This window comes from Homo sapiens, chromosome 5, assembly GCF_000001405.40.
Source record: "Homo sapiens chromosome 5, GRCh38.p14 Primary Assembly".
Classification (NCBI taxonomy): Eukaryota; Metazoa; Chordata; class Mammalia; order Primates; family Hominidae; genus Homo; species Homo sapiens.
Window position 1 is genome coordinate 7,720,601 of NC_000005.10, and position 25,903 is coordinate 7,746,503.

The 25,903-nt window shown below is 37.7% G+C and overlaps 1 protein-coding gene across 5 annotated transcripts in view; it reads left to right on the forward strand.

The window, feature by feature from the left end:
• ADCY2 (adenylate cyclase 2) overlaps positions 1 to 25,903 on the forward strand; it is a 433,944-nt gene that overhangs the window by 324,463 nt on the left and 83,578 nt on the right. For 4 of the 5 annotated variants that reach the window (NM_020546.3, XM_011513942.3, XM_047416645.1 and 1 more), the window contains exons 13-15: positions 3,945 to 4,014; positions 6,564 to 6,661; positions 23,068 to 23,152. In NM_020546.3, coding sequence (NP_065433.2) covers positions 3,945 to 4,014; positions 6,564 to 6,661; positions 23,068 to 23,152 — 253 coding nt within the window. The remainder of the gene's footprint in view (positions 1 to 3,944; positions 4,015 to 6,563; positions 6,662 to 23,067; positions 23,153 to 25,903) is intronic. The other variant, XM_047416647.1, reaches the window with a different exon arrangement.

The window sequence follows — 25,903 nt, forward strand, 5'->3', positions numbered from 1 at the left end:
GTGTTCTCATTGTTCAGTTCCCACCTATGAGTGAGAACATGCGGTGTTTGGTTTTCTGTCCTTGTGATAGTTTGCTCAAACTGATGATTTCCAGCTTCATCCATGTCCCTACAAAGGACATGAACTCATCCTTTTTTATGGCTGCATAGTATTCCATGGTGTATATGTGCCACATTTTCTTAATCCAGTCTATCACTGATGGACATTTGGGTTGGTTCCAAGTCTTTGCTATTGTGAATAGTGCCGCAATAAACATACATGTGCATGTGTCTTTATAGCAGCATGTTTTATAATCCTTTGGGTATATACCCAGTAATGGGATGGCTGGGGCAAATGGAATTTCTAGTTCTAGATCCTTGAGGAATCGCCACACTGTCTTCCACAATGGTTGAACTAGTTTACAGTCCCACCAACAGTGTAAGAGTGTTCCTATTTCTCCACATCCCCTTCAACACCTGTTGTTTCCTGACTTTTTAATGATCGTCATTCTAACTGGTGTGAGATGATATCTCATTTTGGTTTTGATTTGCATTTCTCTGATGGCCAGTGATGATGAGCATTTTTTCATGTGTCTGTTGGCTGCATAAATGTCTTCTTTTGAGAAGTGTCTGTTCATATCCTTTGCCCACTTTTTGATGGGGTTGTTTGATTTTTTCTTGTAAATTTGTTTGAGTTCTTTGTAGATTCTGGATATTAGCCCTTTGTCAGATGGGTAGATTATAAAAATTTTCTCCCATTCTGTAGGTTGCCTGTTCACTCTGATGGTAGTTTCTTTTGCTGTGCAGAAGCTCTTTAGTTTAATTAGCATCCATTTGTCAATTTTGGCTTTTGTTGCCATCACTTTTGGTGTTTTAGTCATGAAGTCCTTGCCCAGGCCTATAGCCTGAATGGTATTGCCTAGGTTTTCTTCTAGGGTTTTTATGGTTTTAGGTCAACATTTAAGTCTTTAATCCATCTTGCATTAATTTTTGTATAAGGTGTAAGGAAGGGATCCTGTTTCAGCTTTCTACGTATAGCTAGCCAGTTTTCCCAGCACCATTTATTAAATAGGGAATCCTTTCCCCATTTCTTGTTTTTGTCAGGTTTGTCAAAGATCAGATGGTTGTAGATGTGTGTATTATTTCTGAGGGCTCTGTTCTGTTCCATTGGTCTATATCTCTGTTTTGGACCAGTACCATGCTGTTTTGGTTACTGTAGTCTTGTAGTATAGTTTGAAGTCAGGTAGTGTGATACCTCCAATCACATTTTTAAAAGATATATTCTATACGGGAAAATCTTCAAATTTTAGATACTATCCATCAAAAATGCATCTGTTCTTATTACAAAATTAATGTTGAGATATCTGTGTTCTAAACCAGTAGTGGGAGTGGAGGCCACCTCAGAAGATTCACAGAGGTGATTAAGTGTGTAGGAAGAATATACACTTCTTAATTCTGAAGACAAGGTGAGAATTAGGCCCATCCATCATTGCTGCAAGGGAGAAGCCACAAGCCAGACCCGGTGTGCTTTGGCAAAGGGAGGCAAGTGTGTCCACTGGTGGGGACTCAGTCGTGTCCCCAAGCACAGATCTAATGCTGGGGTTCACGAAGCACCACATGGGTTCTGGGGACTTAAGGCAAGGAAGCCTGATCCTGAGCCCTTGCCGTCCACCTGTAGGTCACAGGCCATGGAAACCTAGACTGGGTGCATGCTGGCCCAACTAGTAAAGGAGGTGCTGGTTTTATTTTCACTTCCTTGATTTCACTCTCACTCGCAAGCTGACATTTTCCAGGAGCATTTATAAACTATATTTTTTTCTCAGTAAAGGAAATACTGTTTTTAGTAAGTTACCTGCATATATTATTCATAGTTTGATAAAGACACCGTTCTGAAAGTGAGTATGGTTAAAATTTGTCTTAAGTTGTATTTTCTGCTCATTTTAATGTTAACCAATCTTTGATTCCTCCATCTAGTCCTATGAAATAGAATAATAGTTCTGCAGCTGGTACAGTAATAAGAAATACCAAAAAAGTTTGTTTCCCTACAGCTTATACCCTTGAATCAAAGAACTATGCAGCCATAAAAAAGAATGAGATCTGCCAGGTGTGGTGGCTCATGCCTGTAATCCCTGAACTTTGCAAGGCCGAGGTGGGCAGACCACCTGAGGTCAGGAGTTCAAGACCAGCCTGACCAACATGGAGAAACCCCATCTCTACTAAGAAATACAAAAATTAACCGGGCATGCTGGTGTGCACCTGTAATCCCAGCTATTTGGCAGGCTGAGACAGGAGAATCGCTTGAACCCGGGAGGCAGAGGTTGCAGTGAGATGAGATCACACCACTGCACTCCAGCCTGGGCAACAAGAGCGAAACTCCATCTCAAAAAAAAAAAAAAAAAAAAAAAAAAGCATGTCCTTTGCAAGGACATGGATGGAGCTGGAGGCCATTATCCTCAGCAAACACAGGAATAGAAAACCAAGTACCACATATTCTCCCTTATAAGTGGGATGAGAGATGAGAACACACGGACACATAGAGGACAATGACACACGCTGGGGCCTGTTGGAGGGTGGAGGGTGGGAGGAGGGAGAGGATCAGCAAAAATAACTAATCGGTACTAGGCTTAATACCTGGGTGATGAAATAATCTGTACAACAAACCCCCATGACACAAATTTTACCTATGTGACAATCCTGCACTAAATAAAAATTTTTAAAAAGAAGTATTTTTATTTTTCTCACTTTTAATGGCAGTCAGTCTAGAATACATTACTGACTTCTCTGCCCCAGTTGAAAGTGCCCTGTGGGATGGTCTAGTTCCTGGGATGTTCAAGCTAATCATGGTGTGTGCCTGGCAGTGAGAGTCTTCCAAATTACTTGCTGAAAACAGATGTTTAAAAGTCAGACAATGTGGTACAATGCATACTTCCATATAATTTTTATTTATTTGTCAACAACTGAGAGATACATAGTACTTATGCATGCGTTTTTATGTTTGCATCAACCTATTCTGAACGGATTGCTAATTATATTAGTATTTTTATCAATTTTTTAAAAACTCGGGACAGGCGCGGTGGCTCACGCCTGTTATCCCAGCACTTTGGGAGACTGAGGCGCGTGGACCACGAGGTTGGGAGTTCACGACCAGCCTGGCCAACGTGGTGAAACCCCACCTCTACTAAAAATACAAAAATTAGCCAGACGTGGTGGCATGCACCTGTAGTCCCAGCTACTTGGGAGGCTGAGGCAGGAGAATTGCTTGAACCTGGGAGGCAGAGGTTGCAGTGAGCCGAGATCATGCCACTGCACTCCAGCCTGGGTGACAGAGTGAGACTCAGTCTCAAAAAAAAAAAAAAAAAAAAAAAAGAGAAAAGAAAAAACTTTATTCAAGCATGACTTTTACCTTCTAGAAATGAAAAAAATGACAATGAAAGTATTTTCACTAAGTCTGAAAGAAGCAAAACCTTCTCACCCAAATCTTAAAAGCACTCTGATGGTTTGGATGCTCTGTGATCTGTTGCCCTCTAGAAGCTAACAAAAAAAAAAAAAAAAAAAAAAAAGGTGCTTCTCTAGGAACTAGATCCTTAAGGAGGTGAAACCACTGTGTGATTTCGGAAAAACATTAAGGAATCAAATTATTGATGTCTTTACTCCTTTAGACGACTTATCTCCCTTGTTATTTAATTCAGATCCCTTGAGTTTCAATTGATATGACAGTTAGTTTATAATATAGAATTTTCCAAGGAGGGCAGTGTGTGATTAGGAATATTCTATTTTCAGATCCTGTTAGCAGTATCCAGATTCCATATCCAGTTAGTTGGCATCACGTGTTTTTTTTTTTTTTTTTAAATGCTGTTCGGAATGATACACAATAAAGAAAGAAGATCGCAAGTCATTTTAAAAAATAGTTCCAGATGTTTGATTGGAGATTCAGTTTTATGATGTGTTGGCCCTTTCTATTTCCAGGCAATGGCTCAAGTCTGAAGACATTCAGAGAATCTCACTGCTTTTCTATAACAAAGTACTAGAAAAAGAGGTAAGTTTTTTTCTTCTTCAAAATCATCAATCGAGTTTTCTGAAATTTGAATTTCTTCATGAAATTGTGCTCATGTTTTTTATATGTGACATTTAAACTGCCTCTGACTATATTCGAACTCTTTCTGGCTTTTCTGGTGGTTCTTTCATGCATATATTGCTTTACGGTATTTCTTGTTACCAAGATTCCATCTTTGATCAGTTACCATTCTCAACCCTCTCGATAGTAAATGGTATCTGCAATGTGTGCGAAATATCCCAATTAAATGAAAGATGTGGGAGATATCTACTCTTCTCAATGTGAAATTCTTTCAGAAAAGTCTTAAAAAAAACAGAATTCTTCTTGATAAATCTGCAATGTCTTTACACAAATTATTTTAATATGTTGACTAAAATATGAGTTTTACATTCAATGCTTTTTCCAGATAATTAGAACTTTTAAGCTTTATTGCATCCTTAATACTTTCATATTATGGCTTTTAAAGTAAGAGCTATTTCAGGCACAAATAAGTAAGCAGACATTTAGTTTTTACATGTCAAGCTATATATGGGTTTGCCAAAATGAATTCAGTTAATTGTTGCAGAAAGGACAACCATTCTTCTAGCTCAACTTTATTTTATTCGCCTTTTGTTTTTTGTTGATCTGGAGAAGGAACCAGACTTAGAAGTAATTTGCATCATCCAACTATATAATTACAGGCCTACTTTGAACAAAAGTTACATTAATGGTAGCATTCGCAGCTCTGGTATTAAAATTATGTTGATAAAATTTAGTGCATTATTTTATGAATATCAAATAGAAATATTAAATATGATAATTCCTTCCAAAATCTATGGACACACCAAAAGGTTTTTTTTTTATGTTGGTGGTCAAGAGGATCTGTTGTCTACTGCTAAGTAGAGGACTCTGACCATTGACTGCAGACAGTTTACCAAATTGATGCTTGTTATAATGCACAACTATTGACCACCTTATACTTAATAACTTTAGCAAATATTAATGGCTACTTATTGCTTAGCTGCTACATTATTTCTTTCCTGATAGAAGTCCATTTCTTTGTTAATACCACAAAGAAATTCCTACTCATATCTCTGCACAAAGGCCTGAAGAAGTTAAAAGATAAGGATTTAATTGAGTGCATAGAATGTAATCACATTTCAGCAATGATGCTAATGTAGCTTCTTCATGAGCATGGAAATTATGCTGGCTACTAAGTCACAAAATATACCCCCCAAAATTCTAGTAAACAGAAAGTGATCATTTAAAAATGCAGCTTTACATTCCCCATGTACACATATTTGCAGATGCCGACTTTAAAGCAAATTTTAGAGAGCAGCAAGACTTAAGCTCAGTTTTTGTCCATCTGTCCTCAGCCTGCCCGTCAGAGCATGAGGTAGGGCAAGAGGTCACAAGAGCTATCAGAAGATAAATCTCTGGAGACCCCTCAGAGATCCCTCATGCAGCACTAAACTAGAGAGGCTAAAATCCCAGAAATACATATGTGTCCCTATAACTTGGGAAAGTTTATGCAAATGTAGCCAATGCAACCTGACAGTATTTTCAGGAGGTTTCAATGGCATTGGCACAAAATTTTATTTCCTTTAATTTTACCATACAACCTTTCGTAAGGCAGTTGAGCCTCATGGTTGAGAGTCTGAGTTCAGAGCCTGGTGAAGGTCCTGGTTTCCCATGCACTGTATCTCACTGATTGTAGTCAATTGTTCCAGTCCACAGTTTCTTCATCCAAAAATAGGGGCTGTTGTGTGGATTGAATGATTAGTACAGGGAAAGCAGGGAATGCAGGGCACTGTGCTGAATGTGGCAGGGGTCATCATCAGCATCATAAGTATAGCCCTATCTGGAATTTTTATCCTGCCTAAGTAAAGCAGGGTCAGACCTAGGTAGGCAGCTAATGCTGGTCAGCTTATTCATGGCATGGGGAACCACGTGGACCCCTGATGAATGCACTGGACGAGAGAAAGGAAGGGGATCCCATTGGCTAGGCTCAGAACAAGCCAGCTAAGAACCAAGTTGGCAAACCTTTTCAGTCTTATAACTTTACCCATCACCTCTCAATAGCATTAAGACAAATAATAAAATAAAATACTAAAATAAATGAATATGTCTTGCATTTCCTCAGTAGTATTCAAAAGTAAGATAGTATATGAGAAGTCATGCCCTTTCCCTCAGTAGTCATAGACAACAGACCCTCATGGGACCCAGGTCACAGGCGCGATTCACAGTTCACTCACTCAACCTTCTGGTCAGGTGCCTCTCTCCTTACTAGAGAGATTCAGTTACTTATAGATGGGTTTGAGAACAGTTCCACTCATAAACTGTGGTCCTTGGAAGTCACTCCTTCACAGTTCATGTGGGGGAAGGAAAAACTCATTGCTGAGATGAACAGGCTTTCTCCTTAGCTCACGTTGGCTGCAATCTGCACAATTTCTGAGTGTGGTGCATGCTCTGGGTACAACTAGGCTGCTGGACACTGTGTGCAGCTCTTCTCTTGGAGAACTGTCACTCACAGGTTCCTTTCTCCCCCTCAGTACCGGGCCACGGCACTGCCAGCGTTCAAGTATTATGTGACTTGTGCCTGTCTCATATTCTTCTGCATCTTCATTGTGCAGATTCTCGTGCTGCCAAAGTAAGTACTTCTGGTTTCCACTGGGATTCTCACCTGGGGTGCCTTTCCACTGGAGCCCAGTTATATTTAAAGGTGTGAAAGGATGCTAATGTTTAGACAGAGGGGTGATTTAATGTCATGGTAAAGGGAGAGTAACCCAGGACCTCGGAGGTTAAGTGGCCCCCATGTGTCTTCCTTAGCATAATGTTGGATTTTCAAAGTGGACATGTTGATTCAAACTTCTAGGGATTGAAAAAAACAATTTAACCTTCTTGTTTTGATGTTGGTATTACTCTGATGCGCAGTCTAGGAAATGTAGCCCAATAAACTTTACCCACAAAGAGTGCAATCCCCAGATGTGGTTTCTAATAAACAAATACCATTATCTTATATTGAAAGGGCATGACCTTTCACTATAAGACACACTTTGCCCACCCATCCATTTTGTCCAAGTTCTGTGTGTTACACGGCCCTCTCTTCTCTGAAATCCACTCTGCAGCCGTCTTTGATTGTTATAGGTCAAGGTTCAGCCGACCTCTCCCCGGAGAGACGTGGGTACAAATGGGAGAATCTGAGCAAACCACATTTCATGCTTCGAGGTGAATTCCTTCTGGTTCCACTTAATGGTGAAAAACGAATCGCTTTATGATCCCTAGGTCATCTTTCTCTTGCACCTTCTTAATTAGTTCAAGACCAATCAGGTGACTTTCTTCAAGAAAGCTAATTCTCATTTTATGATCTAAAGAAAATTCTTGTCCTTCTTTTAATAACTGGGGATATGGAAAGAAATTTTAAGATAGATTTTTTTTTCCTTCTGATCATATATTTTTTTCTTTCTTAACCTATTTTGTTAAGGTCAAAGCAACCATTTTCAATCTAGTAGAATTCAATTGTTTGCTTGCGTTTAACTCTCATGGTGCAGCCAGCCTTTGTGGGCAACTCAAACTGCTTAGATTGAGTAGCGTTTTGTCTCATGAACGTGCTGAGCAAACTACAAAGAAGTTGTCTGTTTCTCCGCCTCTGTACTTCAAAGGATTTTCTTCTGGGCACTGAGCCAAATAGCCAAAAACCACTTTTGGGATACAAGTGGTTTTTGATTACATGGATGAATTGTAGAGTGGTGAAAGTTTTGTTCATGTATGTACAGTTCCTTAGCAATGTGCTCCCTTGTGGAAGGGGTTTCCAGTAGACTTCTCCTCTCCCCATGATTGGAGGTGTAATACATAGACCAAAGGAGCCCTTCTTCAGGACTTACAGAATCTTCAGTGAAATTTCCCAATGTTAACATTATCAGTTTTCCATTCAAACAAATGTTAACAAATTAAGCTCCTTAGTGTCAGGCCTGTACCATGGTACTGGAGAGAAACAGCCATCCCAGTACACAGTGGCTTATAGACTGGTAGAGCAGAAAAGCATTTTGAAAGCTACATACGTGAAATAACTATTACCCAGGGAATGGGTCCTTATTGTTACTCTTACATAGATAGATTCATTAATTTTTCTACATCTTCCTTTTGGATGAGCATTTCTATATTCTCTACATTATAAGTAATACAGGATCTGTCACCTACTGGGAGGTGCTGGGGATGGGGAGAGTGACTGGGGGCATTTTAAAAGATGCCTCCAAAGAAGACAAAAAGACTTCCAGGAACCAGGAAAAACGTTTCATGGGATTTCACTTTTAAGAAACACATCCTCGTCATGTCTTTGCTGGCTTGGCTTTGATTTTCTTGTCTCTCTTCTGTGGTGTTGCATCTTTATGAGGACCCATGGATGTTCATTCTCTCAAGCTTCATCACCCATTATTTTTGTGGGTGCACACAGGTTGCATTTGCTCTAAGGAAAATCCACAGCCTCATCTAATGGAGTCCCCAGACCTGCACTTGCTGTAACAGCCTCAGGCTTCTTGTTCTGTGACTTCTTCATTTTTCTTTCATGTTAATATCTTCATTTTTTTCTTTTTCTTTAAAAAAAATCTTGCTAGGAAATATTTCAAAGATACAGAAAAGTACAGAGTATGATATAATAAACACACACGTGTCCACAATCCAGACTTTTGCAAATGTTTACCCTGTGTGCTCTTTACTGTAGATACAATTTTCCACCCTCTAGATTGTTATTATTTGGGTATGCTTCCTTTAAACAATACCTGTTTTTATTTTGGTTTTATTTATTCAATTTGATATCTTTCTTTATATTAATTTCTTCTATATTTATTTTGTCATCTGTATTTTGATTTTATAATTGATGTGCGTGGACCCACTTCTACCATTTTATTTTGTGTTTTATTTACCTTGCTTTTCTTTGGTCCTTTTTTTTCTTTTTTCTGATTTCTAATGGATTGATCAAGTTCTTTCATTTTTTTTTATGGTAAATTAAAAGCAACTTTATTAGAAAGTAAAGAAATAAAATAATGGCTACTCCTTAGGCAGAGCAGCCTGTTTATTCTTTTATTTCTTTTACTCATTAGGAAGTATATATATTTTTTTCATTAAAGATTACTATTAAAGTTCATAGAATATACATCATGTATATCTTTCTTTTAGTGATTATCATTAAAATTTCAATATATATTATTTATATTAAAGAATAAAATATATAATTATTTATAATATGTATTATATATTTACATGTTTTTAATGTTATATATTTTTGGTCAATATCTTTTGGGATAGAAGTGGTTTTTGTTACATGGATGAATGTAGAGTGGTGAAGCCTGAGATTTCAGTGCATTCAGCACCCAAGTAGTACACATTGTACCCAATATGTAGTTGTTTATCCTGCACTCCTCTCCTACCCTTCCCCCTTTGGAGTCTCCATAGTCCATTGTATCACTCTGTGTGCCTTTACATACCCACAGCTTAGCTACCATTTATAAGTGAGAACATACAGTATTTGGTTTTCCATTCCTGAGTTATTTCACTTAGAATAATGGCTTCCAGCTCCAACCAAGTTGCTGCAAAAGATATTATTTCTTTTATTTTTTTGGCAGAGTAATTTTCCATCGTGTATGTATGCTACATTTCATTTATCCATTCATTGGTTGATGAATGCTTGCATTGGTTCCATATCTTGGCAATTGTGAATTGAATTTTAACATTTATGCTTAATTCAATACATTCTGAAGTTATTCATAATCTCTCTTCAATGTCATTATTTCCTAGGATTTTAGCTCTGACAGTAATTATAGTCAATGTTTATTTAAATCTGCCACATTCTTTACCAATTAATTTGCTCATCAATGCTTTTTAAAAATTATTCGTTTCTTCAAATTTATTTATATTTTTGGTGATGTATATGATTTGTTAGGGTTTTTGGAGGGGGAGTCTATGAGTAACAATAGCTGCCTTTTTTGTTTATATTAAAATTTCTTTATCTACTTTATTTCACAGTTCTTGAATAATAGTTTAACTGGGCATAAAAGTCTAGGTTAACTTTTATTTTCGCTCAGAATTATGATGACATTACTCTGTGGCATTACATCTTCTATTTTTGTTAATGAAGTATTTCTGTCAGTCTCATTACATTCCTTTCTAGGGAGTCTGTCTTTCCTCTCTGAGTGCTTTTAGGTATCTTTTTTGCTTGGGGGTCGGGGGGCGGTATTTTCACTATATTGTTTCCATAAGTGTATTTGTTTTCATCAACCTAAGTGACTAGGTGTGATTTTTCAATCTGAGGACACATATCTCTGCTCAGTTCTGGAAAATTCTCTGCCTCTATCTCTTACATGTTGCTGTCGATTGTCTCGATTGTCTATTCTTTCCTCTGGAGTTCTTGTAGCTGCATATTGTGTTCTCATCCTGGGCTCCAGGTGTTTTCATGTTTCCTGCCAGTTTCCACTTTTTATTTCTTTGGTCTGCATTCTGATAAATTCTTCACCCAACATTGAGATTATAATCTTTATGATTATTGTTTTCATATCTAAGAAGTCTATGTTGTTCTTAAAACCTAACCTTTTTGTATATATAATTTTATATTTTGCCTATGGAATTTTGTTTTGTTTTCCTTGCAGATTTTTTTTTTTTTTTTTGATGGAGTCTTGCTCTGTCACCCAGGCTAGAGTGCAGTGCAGTGGCACAATCTCAGCTCACTGCAACCTCCGCCTCCTGGGTTCAAGCAGTTCTCCTGTCTCAGCCTCCTGAGTAGCTCGGATTGCAGGCGCCCAACATCACGCCCAGCTGATTTTTGTATTTTTAGTAGAGACAGGGTTTCACCATATTTGTCAGGCTGGTCTTGAACTCCTGACCTCAAAGATCTGCCTGCCTTGGCCTCCCAAAGTGCTGGGATTATAGGCATGAGCCACCGCACCTGGCCTACTTGGAGATTTTAAACATATTATATGGAAATATCACTTCTTTTATTTTTTTTTTGTTATTATTTTGAGACAGACTTCTGCTCTGTCACCCAGGCTGCAGTGCAGTGGCACCATCTTGGCTCACTGCAACCTCTGCCTCCCAGGTTCAAGCAGTTCTCCTGCCTCAGCCTCCTGAGTAGCTGAGATTACAAGCACCTGCCACTGCACCAGCTAATTTTTGTATTTTTAGTAGAGATGGAGTTTCACCATGTTGGCCAGGCCGGTCTCAAACTTCTAGCCTCAAGCAATCCGCCTGCCTCGGCCTCCCAAAGTGTTGGGATTACAGGTGTGAGCCACTATGCCTGGTGGAAATATCACTTATTTTATTATGTTCCTTAGGGTTGATAAATATGTGATTCTGCCATTTAGTCTATCTGTTAAGTCTGTCCTTGTATTATCTGTAATTTTGTCTGTACGTTCATCAACAGCAAGGATTTGGGTCCATGGTAGTCTTGTATGTTCTGAGTTGTAATGGCATCACTATGGGATAGATTTCAGTGTATCTTTGCCAGGTATCTCTGGGATTCACCAATTCAAGTCAAAATATTTTATTAAATCCTTAGACTAAGGTTCCTGCACTAAGGAGGTCAAGTGAATTTGGGTCAACACCTATTGGCATGGAGCAAGATTGGTGATCCCAATTTTCAAAACTGACCTTTTCTTTATGGCCCCAGTCAGATGGTTATCTTCCCTAAAAATTACCAGACTGGTGGAGAGGTTTTCTGTTTCTTGTTTCTTGGCGGGACAGCCCTTCAGGGCCCCTGACTTTATTCAAGAGTTCAGTTCTAATTTCGTGTTAGTCAAATGCCTGGGAGCATCACCTTCCTTGGGTAGACATCAATCCTACACCAAGAGGTATTAGTCCCTGGTTTCTCCTGGGCCGTTTAGCATCAGCACCTCTCAGCAGTCTGATTTGAATACCTTCTATGTACCAGGAATCTCTCTTTCTTGCCTATTATCTCATCTCTTTAAAGAAACCATTTTGCCGTATTTTATGAGGCATTTTTGTTAGAATAATGGTGGCTCTCACTTCTGTTGACTTTGTTTTCTTAACTCATTAATTATACTTTTGCTTTGTTTCATTTGTTTAGCTTTCTTTCTGGTAAATTGCCTCATGTGTTTTTGAAAAAGGGAAAGAATTAAATGAGTGAGTGAGTAAATGAATGAATGAAAAACTAATAATGGAGAAATTTGTTACCTGGAAAGGACCACTAAAGGGAGGTGTTTTCCTGAAAGGGAGCCCAACATGATCCTTATTCAGCCTATAATCATTGAATCTGGCTCTAGTCTCAGAATTTGAATAGATAGAATTAAATTATTGGTTGACTCCTCTTTTTGGAGCTGCTCTCTCACTCTGTCTGCCCTGTAGTATAACTTTATTAGAAACATGAGCTACCTTCAAAGACCAAAAATGATCAAGCATGAATTGCTTTTTTTGCTTTTAAGTAGTTTCATTCATATTATCTGCCAAACTAAATGGATTATGTTTAACCAGTCATGAGGGCAATTGTTAAAACAAGGATGAATTTTTTTCTAGCACAATTTAGGTAAATAACATGTGTTTCATTAGCCCAAGAAAAACTAAGAATAATGATGTTTTACTTAAGAAAAAATAATAAACCAAATTATAATGTTAAATGTCTTAGAATTATTATTTCTACTCAGATCTCTAGTATCAGTTTCATTACTTATTTCAACACTCAATACTAGAGGTGGTAAAACGTGTTCAAATCCTGGGATAGGTTGTACAGAGTGATGTAGACAAGTCTCGCTGCGGGATTAGATATAAGGAGTTGAGAAAGTAAGTTTTGCAGGGTTTTTAATTTTGTTTTATTTTGTCCTGAACAACTGGAAAAAATGCTGCCATTTACACAGAGAGAATCCTGGGGCAGGCACAGGTTGGGGAGGGACAGCAAACTCAAGGGCTCAGTTCTGGACATTAGATACATGTGCGTGTTACACATCAGGTGCTGGAGTTTCACACAAAAGGGAGTTTGTGACCTGTAGAATTTATAGAACTTCTGTTGAACCCCCTAGAGCTCCTATGGATTCTACAGAGCTGGGTGGAGATACAGTCTGAAAAACCCACACCTATGTAGTATTTAAATCCAAGAGATGGGATAAGCTCCCCCAAGTAGAGGGTATAGGAAGAGAAGACTCTGTACTTTCTGGGGAATACAGTGTGTCTGAAAATTCAGATCTTCAGCCCTTATCATTGCTGTAAAGGTAGAACTCTTCTTACTTGGCCAAAGATCATCTCTTTTTTCTTTCCCACATCTCAGAACCTTCAAGTGTCCATAACATCTCAAAGCTAAGTCCTCTCATCAGAGAAAGGCTACTGTAATGGTGATGAATATTTAAATTCCATTTCCTCCTTTCAACTTTTGATTCTTTCTTTCTTCTTTTCTTTTTCACTGAATTCCCTTTCATTTTGAAGTTCTATCATTTAAAAAAGAGGAATTTTTATTTCATGCTAACTTATAATTGAAAGAAAAGTTTGCTTCCTTTGGTTCTTATCATTCTGACTGAATCCCACGCAACAGATGTGAGTGGAGAGCTGATGAGAGGCTTGCTTTAGGGAGGAAGTAAGGGAAATGAAGTCAACCAGGAAAGAGTCCGTGAAAGTCATGACATTCAATAGAATGCCAAAGACATCATTATTTACCCAGAGAGATAGCTTGTAATTAATACATTTCGTAGGCTTTTTGAGGGGAATGTGTGTCTCCACTGGACTTATCTCATCAATAAATGTGTTTCTCACCCCTGTCAGGGCCACCTTTAAGCAATTCATTGACTGGGAAAAAAAGCAGAAAGGAAGGAGGACCTTGTCCAGAATCATCCTCTTCCATATTCCATAACAATGCACTTGAATAAAGCACCAAAGTCAAAAATGAACACTAAAAGTAATTTTTCTTGCCTCATGACAGGGAAGACTCGAGGTTGTTTTTCAGTAAGTACATAATAAGTTATGCTTCAGGGTTAAAAAGAAGCAGTTTTGCAACTGGGCTGTTAATTAAAATTGATTAAGTTACACCAACATCTTGGTATACTTAATGGACCTGAACATGCTTTTGACAGAACAGGCAGGATAAATGGTTAAAATTAAGAGCGTTTGACCAACCATTACTTTGTCTCACAGTATTTGTTGTTCCCTGGTGTCTTAGTCCATTTGGACTTCTCTAACAAAGGACCATAGACTGTGTAGCTTAGGAGCAATAGAAATTTAGAAGCCATGGTTCCAGAAGCCAAAGTCTGACATCAGGGTGCCAGCATGGGTGGGATTGGGTGAGGGCTCCCTTTCAGGTTGCAGACTACTGTCTTCTCCTTGTATCCTCACATGGCAGAAAGAAATAGTTCTGCAGCCAATTCTCATAAGGGCACTAATGCCATTCATGAGGTCTCCACCTTCATGACCCAGTCACCTCCGAAAGGCCCCATTTCCCTAATACCATCACATTGGAGGTTAGGAATTCAACAGATAGATTTTGGGAGACAGAAGCATTAAGCCCATAAGAACTCAGATGGAAGAGAGGTCCATCTGAACATAAATGCCAGTATGCCACAGACTAGAATACTGAAGAGCCTGAAGTTGAGCATATTGGTGAGAGTTTGAGCCACCCCAAGTCTGAATCTCAGGTTGTCACATACTTTTCTATATGCAAGACCATATCACCTACAAATTAAGATAGTTTTACTTCTTCTTTTACAATCTGATGCCTTTTATATTATTTTCCTGCCCAATTTCCCTGGTTAAAGCCTCCAGTACAAAGTTAAATAGAAGTAGCCACAGCACACATCCTTTCTTATTCAATCTGAAGAGAAAAGCATTCAGCCTTTTACCATTAAGTATGATGTTAGCTGTGAGTTTCTCATGGTGACCTTTTATCAAGATAAGGAAATTCCATTTTATTAATAGTTTGTTGAGTTTTTTCATTGTGAAATAGTTTGGATTTTCTCAAATCCATTTTCTGCAGCTATTGAGATGATAATGTGTTTTTTCTTCTATTCTATTAATGTGACCTATTAATAGGTTGACTGATATTCAGATATTAAAGCAACCTTACATTTCTTGGGTAAACCCCACTTGGTATTGATATACAAACCTTTTTACTTGTGGCTGGATTCAATTGACTAATATTTTGTTAAGGATTTTTGTATCCACATTCATAAGAGATACTGATTTCTACTTTTTTTTGTGATGTCTTTGGTATTGGTGTCAGGGTGATACTGGCTTCAGAACGAGTTAAGAACTGTTCCCTTCCCTTCCATTTTATGGAATAGTTTGTAAAAAATGGATATTAATTCTTCTTTCAAAGTTTTGGGCCAGGCATGCTAGCTCACACCTGTAATCCCAGCACTTTGAGAGGCAGAGGCAGGTGGATTGCTTGAGCTCAAGAGTTTGAGATCAGCCTGGACAACATGGCAAAACCCCTGGGCAAAGGGGCAAAACCCCCTCTCTACCAAAAATACAAAAATTGGCCATACATGGCAGCACAGGCCTATTGGTCCCAGCTACTTGGTAGGCTGAGGCAGGAGGATGGCTGTAGCCCGGGAAGTAGAGGCTGCAGTTAGCTGTGATTGCACCACTGCACTCTTGCTTGGGTGACAGAGCAAGACTCTGTCTCAAAAAAAAATTAAAAATGAAATGAAAGTTTGGGAAAATTTATCAGTGAAGCCATCTGCACATGAATTTTTCTTTGTAAGTAGATTTTTTTAATTACTAAGTTAATCTCTTTACTTTTTATAGGTAAGCCTATTTATATTTTTCATTTCTTCTTTAGTCAGTTTTGTGTGTCACAACATACTCTTAAGAATGATCATCCCTGCTTAAATGGGCATGTCATATGTTACAGCAAATCAAAAACAGATAGTCAGCTCTATTAGTAACACTCTATTCCTTTATCAGCTCTTAATAGATTTTGACATTTGAGGAAGGAGTAAGCAGTGGTCATCAGATACATTCACAAAAAAATGTTAACAACTCTTCTGGGATGCTCTTCACTGTGTCCAGCATATTATTATAAAATAGGAAGAGTCACATTTTAATACCCTTATTGTTTTTTAGGTCTATTTGACCTGACTTCAGAATGTCTCTGTCAACTCTCTTCATGGTGGAATAATTATTCAAAAAAAAAGAAACATTGAAATGCATTTTAGGAAACAAAGGCCTATATAATTCATTGTAGTACAAGAATCCATTATTTAAACTCTGATTCACAAAATAAACCTTATGATTTGTTAGTAGATTAACACATAATTGTCTCTAAATCAGTTGATATGTGTTTAATTGAAGGCCAATATAATTCCATAATCCCTTGTTCCATTTATAAAAAAAATTAGAGTATGGCATAACCCAAGGAATATATACATATTTGCTCAATACTTCTAATGATAAATACTTCAAGTAAAAACTTTTTTTTTGCTATTTTCAAAAGAAAAAGGAAGGAATTTAGGGAAGTCACTGTTACAGTTCTTCCCTAGGTTTCTACCTAACTATTAATGATATTATAGTGCCCAGAGAAAGCTTTATCTAGTTAATGGATTAGGCTCCAATAAAGAAAACAAATTGTCTTAGGTATTTCCGAAAGGGAATTTAATATAAAGAAGTATTTACAGAATGAGAGAAAAGCTGATAAACCAAATAGGGGATAGTATACTAGCCATGATATTAGCAACAGAAGAAACCTCCTACCACCTCTAGACTTGTAAGGAAACAGGATAGAGGTGTTGTTAGCAGAAACCCAGGCTCCTGGGCTTTCTTGCAGATGCTAGAACCATGCAAAGCTAGAGCTAGACGAAGGTAAGGTGTTGTCTGACAAGGATCTGGAATTTTAGAAAAGGCAGGAGTTGCAGGCCATTCAGAAAATGGCTGCTAAGTAGAGAGTAAAAGAAATACCCAATCTCTTTCTTTCCATTGCCTTCCAGTCTCCCACCAGTTCTCATCGGCCAAACTAGCTAGAGACATTTGACAAAGAGTCTGTGAAATGAAGTCTCTAAGAGATGGATAGAAATATACTTGAAAGCAAACAAGAAATTACCAACACACTTAGTGACAAATTTTCCTAAATTTGTTAAAATCCATCACTCTCCAAAGGCAAGAATCTCTATGAACATCAAGCAGGATAAATATGAAGGAAACCACATGTGGCATATTATAGTCACACTTCTGGAAACCAGAAAAAAGAAAAACATTAAATGCACCCACAAAAAAAGACATTACATACAAGGGATCAATGACAGAATAAATGGCTGCCTTCTTATCAGAAATGATGGAAAGCAAAAGACACTTGAACATCTTTAAACCACTGATAGGAACATGATGAACCCTGAATTAAACATTCAACTCAAATATTCCTTTTCAAAGTCGAGATGAAATACATTCTGCAAGTAAAAAAAGAGGGAATTCATCACCAGCAAACCTACAAGATATGCTAATGGAAGTTCCTCAAGCTAAAGTGAAATTATGTCAGAAGGAAAAAGGAATCTAAGGAAGGAATGGAAAGTATTGGACATGCTTACTTTATGAGAGAGTATAAAAGACAATGTATTTATTTTTCATGTCTCTAAAAGACAACAGGTGATCTGATGCAAAAACAATGACATGTGACATATACTGAGAATTCTTATGAGAATGGGATTAAATTGTTGTGTCATGTATTTTTTGAAGTGGCACAATATTAATGCCAAATAACTAATGATAAGTTAGGACAGCGTGTATTAAGCCTTGAGCAATCACTAAAAATAAAATAAGGATAGCTAAAAAGCCAAGAGGAAATGAAAAATACTTTTAAATATTTAATTAATAAAATAATAATGGAAGAACAGAAAAACAAAAATAAATGAGACAAATATAAAACAGATAGTAAAATGGTACGTTTGAAGTAGTAGCAACAAATGTGACAGACCACACTATACAAATAAAAGCAATGGGGCAAATAAACAATAGATAGCCAGAGGGTAAGATTAAATTCAAACATTATAAATGGGAAAGGACTAAATACTCCAAAGGAAAGTATGACCAAGCCATATACTCTCTACAAGAGATGCACTTTAAATACAAGTTAGGTAGCTTGAAAGTGAAAGGATGGAAAACGTATCTGATGTAAACAATAAGCACAAGGAGGCTACTATACATATATTAATATCAGACAAAGTAGTTATGAAGGCAAGAAATATTAACAGAGATAAATATAGATAGTGAGTAATGATAAAAAGGTCATTTCACCAGGAGGCGTAAAATCATAAAATGTGCTTATACCTAATAACGGATCTATAAAAGACAGATATGAAAGCACTTAACCTACAGTAGACCATAAAAGCATCTTATGCATATCTGACAAAATCAAAGAAAAAAAGAGACAAATCTACGTCAGAATTAGATATTTAGTATCTCTTTTCTAGTTATTATTATTATACCAATAGGAATATATAGGAGGTCTGAGCAACAATATCAACTTCCTAAAACTAATTAATGTTTCATAAAACACTAAACTGAATTGAAAAATACTTGTTTACTTAAAGTGCACATGGAACATTAACCTACAAAGATATTACTTATACTAGGCCATAAAAGCATCTCCATAAATTTGAAAATACAGAAACAAATATGAGGACAAAAAAATCATATAGTCTGACGTCTAACCACACTAAAATCAAATTAGAAATCATTAACAATAGAATATTTTAAAATATCCCCAAATATTTTAGTGTTAAACTATATGCTTCTAACCCAGGAGTCAAATATGAAATACAAGCGAAATGTAAAAATGTTTAAATATCAAAACGTAATGTATCAAAATGTGTGGGATTGCAATTAAAGCAGCAATTTAGGGGGGAATTTGTAGCTTTAAAATGCTTTAAAATTAGAAAAGAGGAAAGAGTTAAAAATCAATTGTCCAAATTTCGATCTTAGGAAGCAGAAAAAGATGAGCAATTTAGAATCAAGCAATTAGAAAGGCATAAATACTAAAAAGAAGAAATCAATAAAATAGAAAACCATCAGTAGTGAAAATTAATAAAGCCAAAATATGGCTCTTTGAAAAAGACTGAAAATTCCTAAACCACTAGCAAGACTGATGAAGAAAGAAAAACAGGGAGAAAAATCACAAAGCACCCAAACTAACAATTTAAGGGAAAAAAGAGGACTCACTACAGACTCTGTAGATATTAACAGGATATATATGAAATGCCATAAATTACTTGAGGCCAAACAGATTTACAATTTAGATAAAATGAGTTTCTTGAAAAGACTATTTACCAAAAGCTGAAACAAATAGAAAATTTAACTGTGCATGTATCTATTTATTGAATTTGTTTTAAAAATTTTTCCCACAAAGGAAACTTCATACCCAGATTATTTGTGTGTGAATTCTACCCAACATTTTAAGAAAATAAGATAGAAAGAATTGGTCAAATATTAACAAATTTTATATTTGTGAATGGATAAAAATGTCTTATTCATGGAAAGAGGCTAAAAGATTGGGGCTACAAACCAAAGGCCAAATCTACACCACGTGTAGGAGATCTAGCCGAAATAAAATGAGAAAGGTTGGAAATAAAGGATATAGAACAGCTATTCCAGGAAACAGCTTATAGAATAAAGGAAATATCAATAATATAAATTCCTGACAATAAAGAATTCAAATGAAAAGTATTCAGCATTTAAAAAAAAGATTTTTATTATGATTCAGGCAACAAAATTTTAAGTCATAAATATTTATGCACTTCAGAGTCTCTTTGAAATAAATAAAGCAGAAAGTGTTAAAATGTTCAAATACATGGACAAACCTACACTCCTAGTTGGAAATGTTAATATATTCTAACATTGACAGATCAAGCAAGCCAGCCCATTAGGGATTTGACTAACTCATAAGGTTCCTTCAATAGTTATATTTAGAGAAACACTTTGTTACCAGCATAAAAAACACATAGAATTTTCAAAAATTCATAAGACATAGAAGTTGAGCATATTTATCACATCCCAGAAGAAAAATAAATTGTCAAAGTGAAATAATAGAGGCCACAATCTCTGATAAAATCAAATGAAATTAGAAATAACAAGAACCAACCAAAAATAATATTCTTGTGGAATTTAAAATTCAGACTTCTGAGTTACTTTTAGTATTAAAAGAAAATGGAAATTGAAAGTATAGGCTTTTTAGAAAAGAGTTATAATGAGTAGCTATGAATTAAAGGCTGTGGGATTTGGCAAAAGCAGTAACTAGTAGAATATTTATGTCCTTAAATGCACTTATTAGAAAATACAAAATATTTTCTAACAAATGACAATCCAAGATAAAGTATATAAGTTTAATTAAGGAAGAAGAAATAAATTTTTTAAAGTTGAATCGGAAACTAATTAATATAGAAAGAAAGAACAGACCTTAATAATAAACCAAACACTTATTCCTTGAGAAGGTCAACAAAACATGCAAAACCTCACAAATCTGATCTAAAGAAAATAGCATTAAGCATAAGAAATTACAAATATGGAGAGTTTTTAAATTATAAGAAAATATTATATAGAATATTTTACATTTGAAAATCTAAATGAAATAGATAATTTTCTAGGAAAATCATCAAAATTGACTCAAGAAACAGAACCAATAAACATGGCAGAAATGTGACATGTCTATTTCTAAAACAGAACCTGGATCAGGAATACAACTGGGTAGACATAAATCCAGACAACATCACTTAATAGAGGTATAACTTTAGGGAAGTTATAGAAGTATAACTTGGGCAAGTTCCTCAACTTCCCTGTGTATCAGTTTCTCTGGCAAAATGAGGTAATAATACTAACTACTATATAGGATTATTGTGAGGATAAAGTGAACTATATATGTACATATATACATAGCACTTGACACATAGTGAATACTCTATAGATTTTAGGATGTAGCATCACCACCACCACCATCACCACACCACTACCATCACCACCACCATTATCCCCATCACCATCCCTATCACCATCACCATCACCATCCCTATCACCATCACCATCACCATCATCACCATCACCATCATTATCACCATCATCATCACCATCACCATCCTCATTATCATCATCATCATCATCACCATCACCGTCACCATCATCACCATAACCATCTCTATCACCATCACTATCATCATCACCATCACCATCACCATCACCATCCCTATCACTGTCACCATACCATCATCATCCCTATCACCATCACCCATAATCATCATTACCATCACCATCATCACCATCCTCATCATCGTCATCACCATCACCATCCCTATCAATATCACCATCACTATCCCTGTCACCATCACTGTATCACCTGTTATCATCACCATCATTACCATCACCGTCATTATTATCATCATCATCATCAGATAATTTTATACTTGAGTTTTATCAAACCTCCAAGAAGATATCGTTCATTCAGTATTTAAACAGTTTGGGGCCTAAAAAAAAAAGACGAAATGTTGTTTCTAAACTCAGCCTTATGAATCTGGCATTACCTTAACACCGAGAAAAAGCTAGGAGAGCATAGTGCCCAAAAAAAAAAAAAAAACCTGTCAGAGCTCCTTCGTAAAACAGAAGAGAAGATAGCAAATCAAAGCTCAGCAGATGAATCACTGTGGTCCCCTTTAGTCATGAGGATAATGGCAAGCGCCCTCCATAGCTCTGAGATGTGGGCTGGCACTCCTCCCGCTGCTGCAGGATCACATCTTACTCATCTTTGTGTCAGAACAGCCTAGCATGAGCCCGGCCCATGAGACTAGTCAACAATCTAGGTGTACTTGGTATATACACACCCTCCCGCAGAGTCTTATCATCACTTGTAAAATCTGAACAAGTATTATTATCAGGCCAGGTGTTTGAAAGCATTGTGAGTCATGTCTAGGACATGACTCAGTGCCCGAAAGTCATTGATTGGGTCAGGTCCAATTGTTGGTTTGAACTCAAGTTTTTGTAGATGTTGTTTGATGTGTGTCCCTGTAGTCATCCCTCTTAATGGAGTAGGTATCTGAGATAAAGAGTTGAGGGTGGCTTCTCATCATGACAGCATCAGGAGCTTTACTCAGGGCACTAACTGCTCAATTTGTTTCTCTTTCTGTGGGACTCACAGGAGTGCACCTGCAGGAGGATGTCAGCTTGTGGCTGGCTTATATCTGGTTCTTCCATCCCATACGTTGTTTCTGGATGTTACTCCTCTTCTTAGCCAAATCCTCTGTTTCTTCACTGTCTCTAGCCAACCTCATTGGCATGAGGTTCCATTTTGGTCTCAGACACCATCCAACCTCTCCTTGGATGTTCCATTTGCATTTCATCTTTGATGATTCACTGTGCTTCAGTCCTTTTTATACCTCTGAAACTTCTATCCTTGGATTAAACTAAGTTTTAAAAGGCTTTGAATTATTTAATTATTTAAGGGACCTTTCGGATATGTATACAATTCTTATAAGTAAGCCTGTAATCTGTCAGTAGCAGGATTTGCAACTCAGTAGGCATGTTTTTCACATGATCATGGGATGCTTTTGAGTTCATTGGCTCACTCAAGCATGTAAAAAGCCTCGCTACACATTTTGCTGCATCTATGTTGAACAAAATAGGTTGAATCTGGTTTCATGAGATTGGGGAGGGTGAGGACTCAATGTCTCCTGGGTCAACAGGAACAAGGGTGGAACTTGAGGACTTCCAGGCTATCAAGGTGAGGCTGTCCTTAAGGCGGCAGCTGCCAGGATCTCACTGGCAGTGAAGAGGCCACCGAGATGGGGGATGTGGCCAAGTGCCACATGAAACTGCCAGGAACATGGGCGAGTCATTTAAAAAGATTCTTTATCCTTCATAAAGAACTGATGCTTCTGAGGCAGTTTTATTGAGTCAGAATAAGTTAATTGGCCATCGCTGTGTGGACCCTTTTCTATGGACATGTATGTGGCATTTTAGCTCCATTTTTATTTCTCAAAAATTTAGTGAGGATTGCAGTCTGCATTTAATAAAGTCCTCGTTAACCCAAAAGTATTACTGGTAGCTTTCCAGAATGAGAGAAACGATCTCCACCCTGACTTGCTGCTTTTTGTTTCCCGGTAGAACGTCCGTCCTGGGCATCTCCTTTGGGGCTGCGTTTCTCTTGCTGGCCTTCATCCTCTTCGTCTGCTTTGCTGGACAGCTTCTGGTAGGTATTCAAATGTGGCGCTTCTTTGAAAAGTATGCTCATTTCATGAAAGCTGATTTCTTGCCTAAAACTTTCCAAAACAAGGAGCTTATTGCTTTACCACTTCAAGAACTCCAGATCCCAGTTAAGGAAACACACACCCTTCAGGTCTATAACCAGGAATATAGACTGGGACCCCTCATGCACAACCAAGACACGAATATGAAGATGATTCAAAACGTTCGATGTCACATCAGAAGTTGCATTCTTGCTTATTTGGTGTCAATATATTTTTATCATTTCCTTTAAGTTTTCAGAGTATTTATAGCAGCAAATGCAAGTATAATATGAGGCTTTCAGTGTACAGGAGGATTAAAACTAACACAGGAGCAGAAAACCAAACACTGCCTGTCCTCACTCATAAGTGGGAGTTGAACAATGAGGACACATGGACACAGGGAGGGGAACATCACACACTGGGGCCTGTTGGAGGGTGGGGGAAAAGGGGAGGGATAGCATTAGGACAAATACCTAATGCATGCGGGGCATAAAACCTAGATGATGGGTTCATAGGTGCAGCAAACCACCATGGCACATGTATGCCTATGTAACAAACCTGCACATTCAGCACCTGTATCCCAGAACTTAAAGTAAAATTTAAAAAAAAAAGTAAACCTAATACATTGCTACATCCACTTTCAAGCTATAAAATGTTGGAGTAGTTGAAGAAAGCATACGTTAAAATATCTTTTATTAGTGTTTAATTTAAGCCAATCAGGTTTAAATGCTAGTTCTGGATATACAGATTAAACCTAAAATTGAAAGTCTAAAGCAAGTGTTGCTAGCTGGCCATGAGTCTATGAGAGCATCGTAAGGATGCAAACAATGGGATAGAAGGCCCTGAAGATAAGCCACTGTTTCGTTTTGTTCAATGGAGATGACCTGGGACAGAGAGGCCACTCTGAGCTTCTCAGCAGCTCTCTTCCTTGCCCCCATGGGCATTCTCAAGAGAAGCTTCAGAGATTTTTTTAATAAAAATTTTTACATGATAATTAATAACCTATTATAAAAAATAAATAGAAATGTTCTTTAAAATATTTTTCAATGGATGCATTTTATATGAGTTCTGCAGTTACAGACTACAGTCTAGATATTTTCACATTGTCAAAATTATGATTTCTTCTGCTGGTTAGACTGTAACAACGCATTTAGATGACACCGCCAAGGAAGCCTCCTGAGGTTTGTGGCCTGTCTGTTACCTCTCAGGAGTATTGTGGCTTCTATGAAAGAATTTTTTCTCATTCTGCATGCGTTTATAGTTTGCATCTGTGGCTTTATTGCAATGTTGTTTTGCTTTTCATAAAACACACTACTACTGCTAGCAACAACATCAGGACAGCGCGATAGTGGCCTCTTAGAATCCTCGTCCTCCCTTCAAAAGCTCTGAAAAGTGGCAGTCCTGACCCCCACGCTGTCCATTGCATTCCAGTCTGATGTGCTGAAAGGCTTTGGCCAAGGGTGGTTAAGATTCCAAAGCTTGTCTCTGCCTTTCCGCAGTCGACTGTAAGCACTTTGTCCTCTGTGCCTTATACCTTTGCAAACTTGTGTGGATTTTGTTTACTGTTTGATAGTTTAGATGTTTCAAATTGTATTGAAAGCTCTTCCAAAAATGGGACTGTGGCTTCTGCTTTACCCAAATGCACACATAGCATCTCGATTCTCTGAAACCCCCTGAAGACATTGTGGGTTGTATAGAGGAGGGAAGACCCTTGGTTAATATGAATCCACTCCGAAAGGCCCTGATGGAACTCTTTGGCAAAGTTTGAAAACGCTTATTGTAGAAAGAAGCCTGGTTTTCTATGTTCCCGGAATCATCCCTCAGGTGGAAAGGCACACAGGCTCCCCTGCTCTCTTCCTTGCCCCCACAAATCTCCTGAAGCCCATGTCTCAGGTTTCCAAAACAGGAACCATCATTGGTGGTTCCATTGGAAATCCCAACCTAGTTCTAATTAAGTCAGTTCAGATCATTGTGACTAACTAGCCATATTTATCATTTTCTATCCCAGGGAATCTGGTCTTGGATATGGGGGCATGTGGTATATTTAGGGTATCAGGCTGACTTTTTTTCATTCTACTCTCTAAGTTGTTATATTAAAGAAACATAGAGCTGGGGGCAGAAAAAAATATCTCAGGAACAACTCTGCTGCGTCTGTGGGAAAGCATTGTTCCTCTCTGGTGCCTCCCTTTCAGCCTCGCTGGAATCCCACGCCCTGCTGCCCCTCTCATAGCTCCTCCTGTGGCCAGCCTGAGGCCCCGGTAAGCTGTCAAGGTGACACCCACAGCTCCTCCTGCCCTCCCGTCCCTGGAGCTTCCCAGGACCCTGGCCTCCACAGGCCACATGCTAGAAAGTTCTTTTTGACTCCGTGGTATCACAAAGGGAAGATTTCAATGCTACAAATGCATTGGTGCTTACCTCCTCCTCACAAGAAGCCTGGATGGTGTCAAAGTGCCCAGGAAGCCTAGACGTGGCGACACTTGGTCCTCCTAAACTTGATTCCATAAGATCCGTGAATGAGGCTCCCTCTAGTGGCCAGCTGCAATTCCTCCTCCTTGGATGTAATCCATGAAAAAAATCAAGAAGGAATTCTTTTCACTTTAATAATAGGTCCTTTTTTACTGTTTAAATCATTCTTTAAGGATTTTTTAATTTGCAACATCAAATATATTGGTGTACAGCCAATTTAAGAAGGCTTAAGTGCACTCTGCACTCTG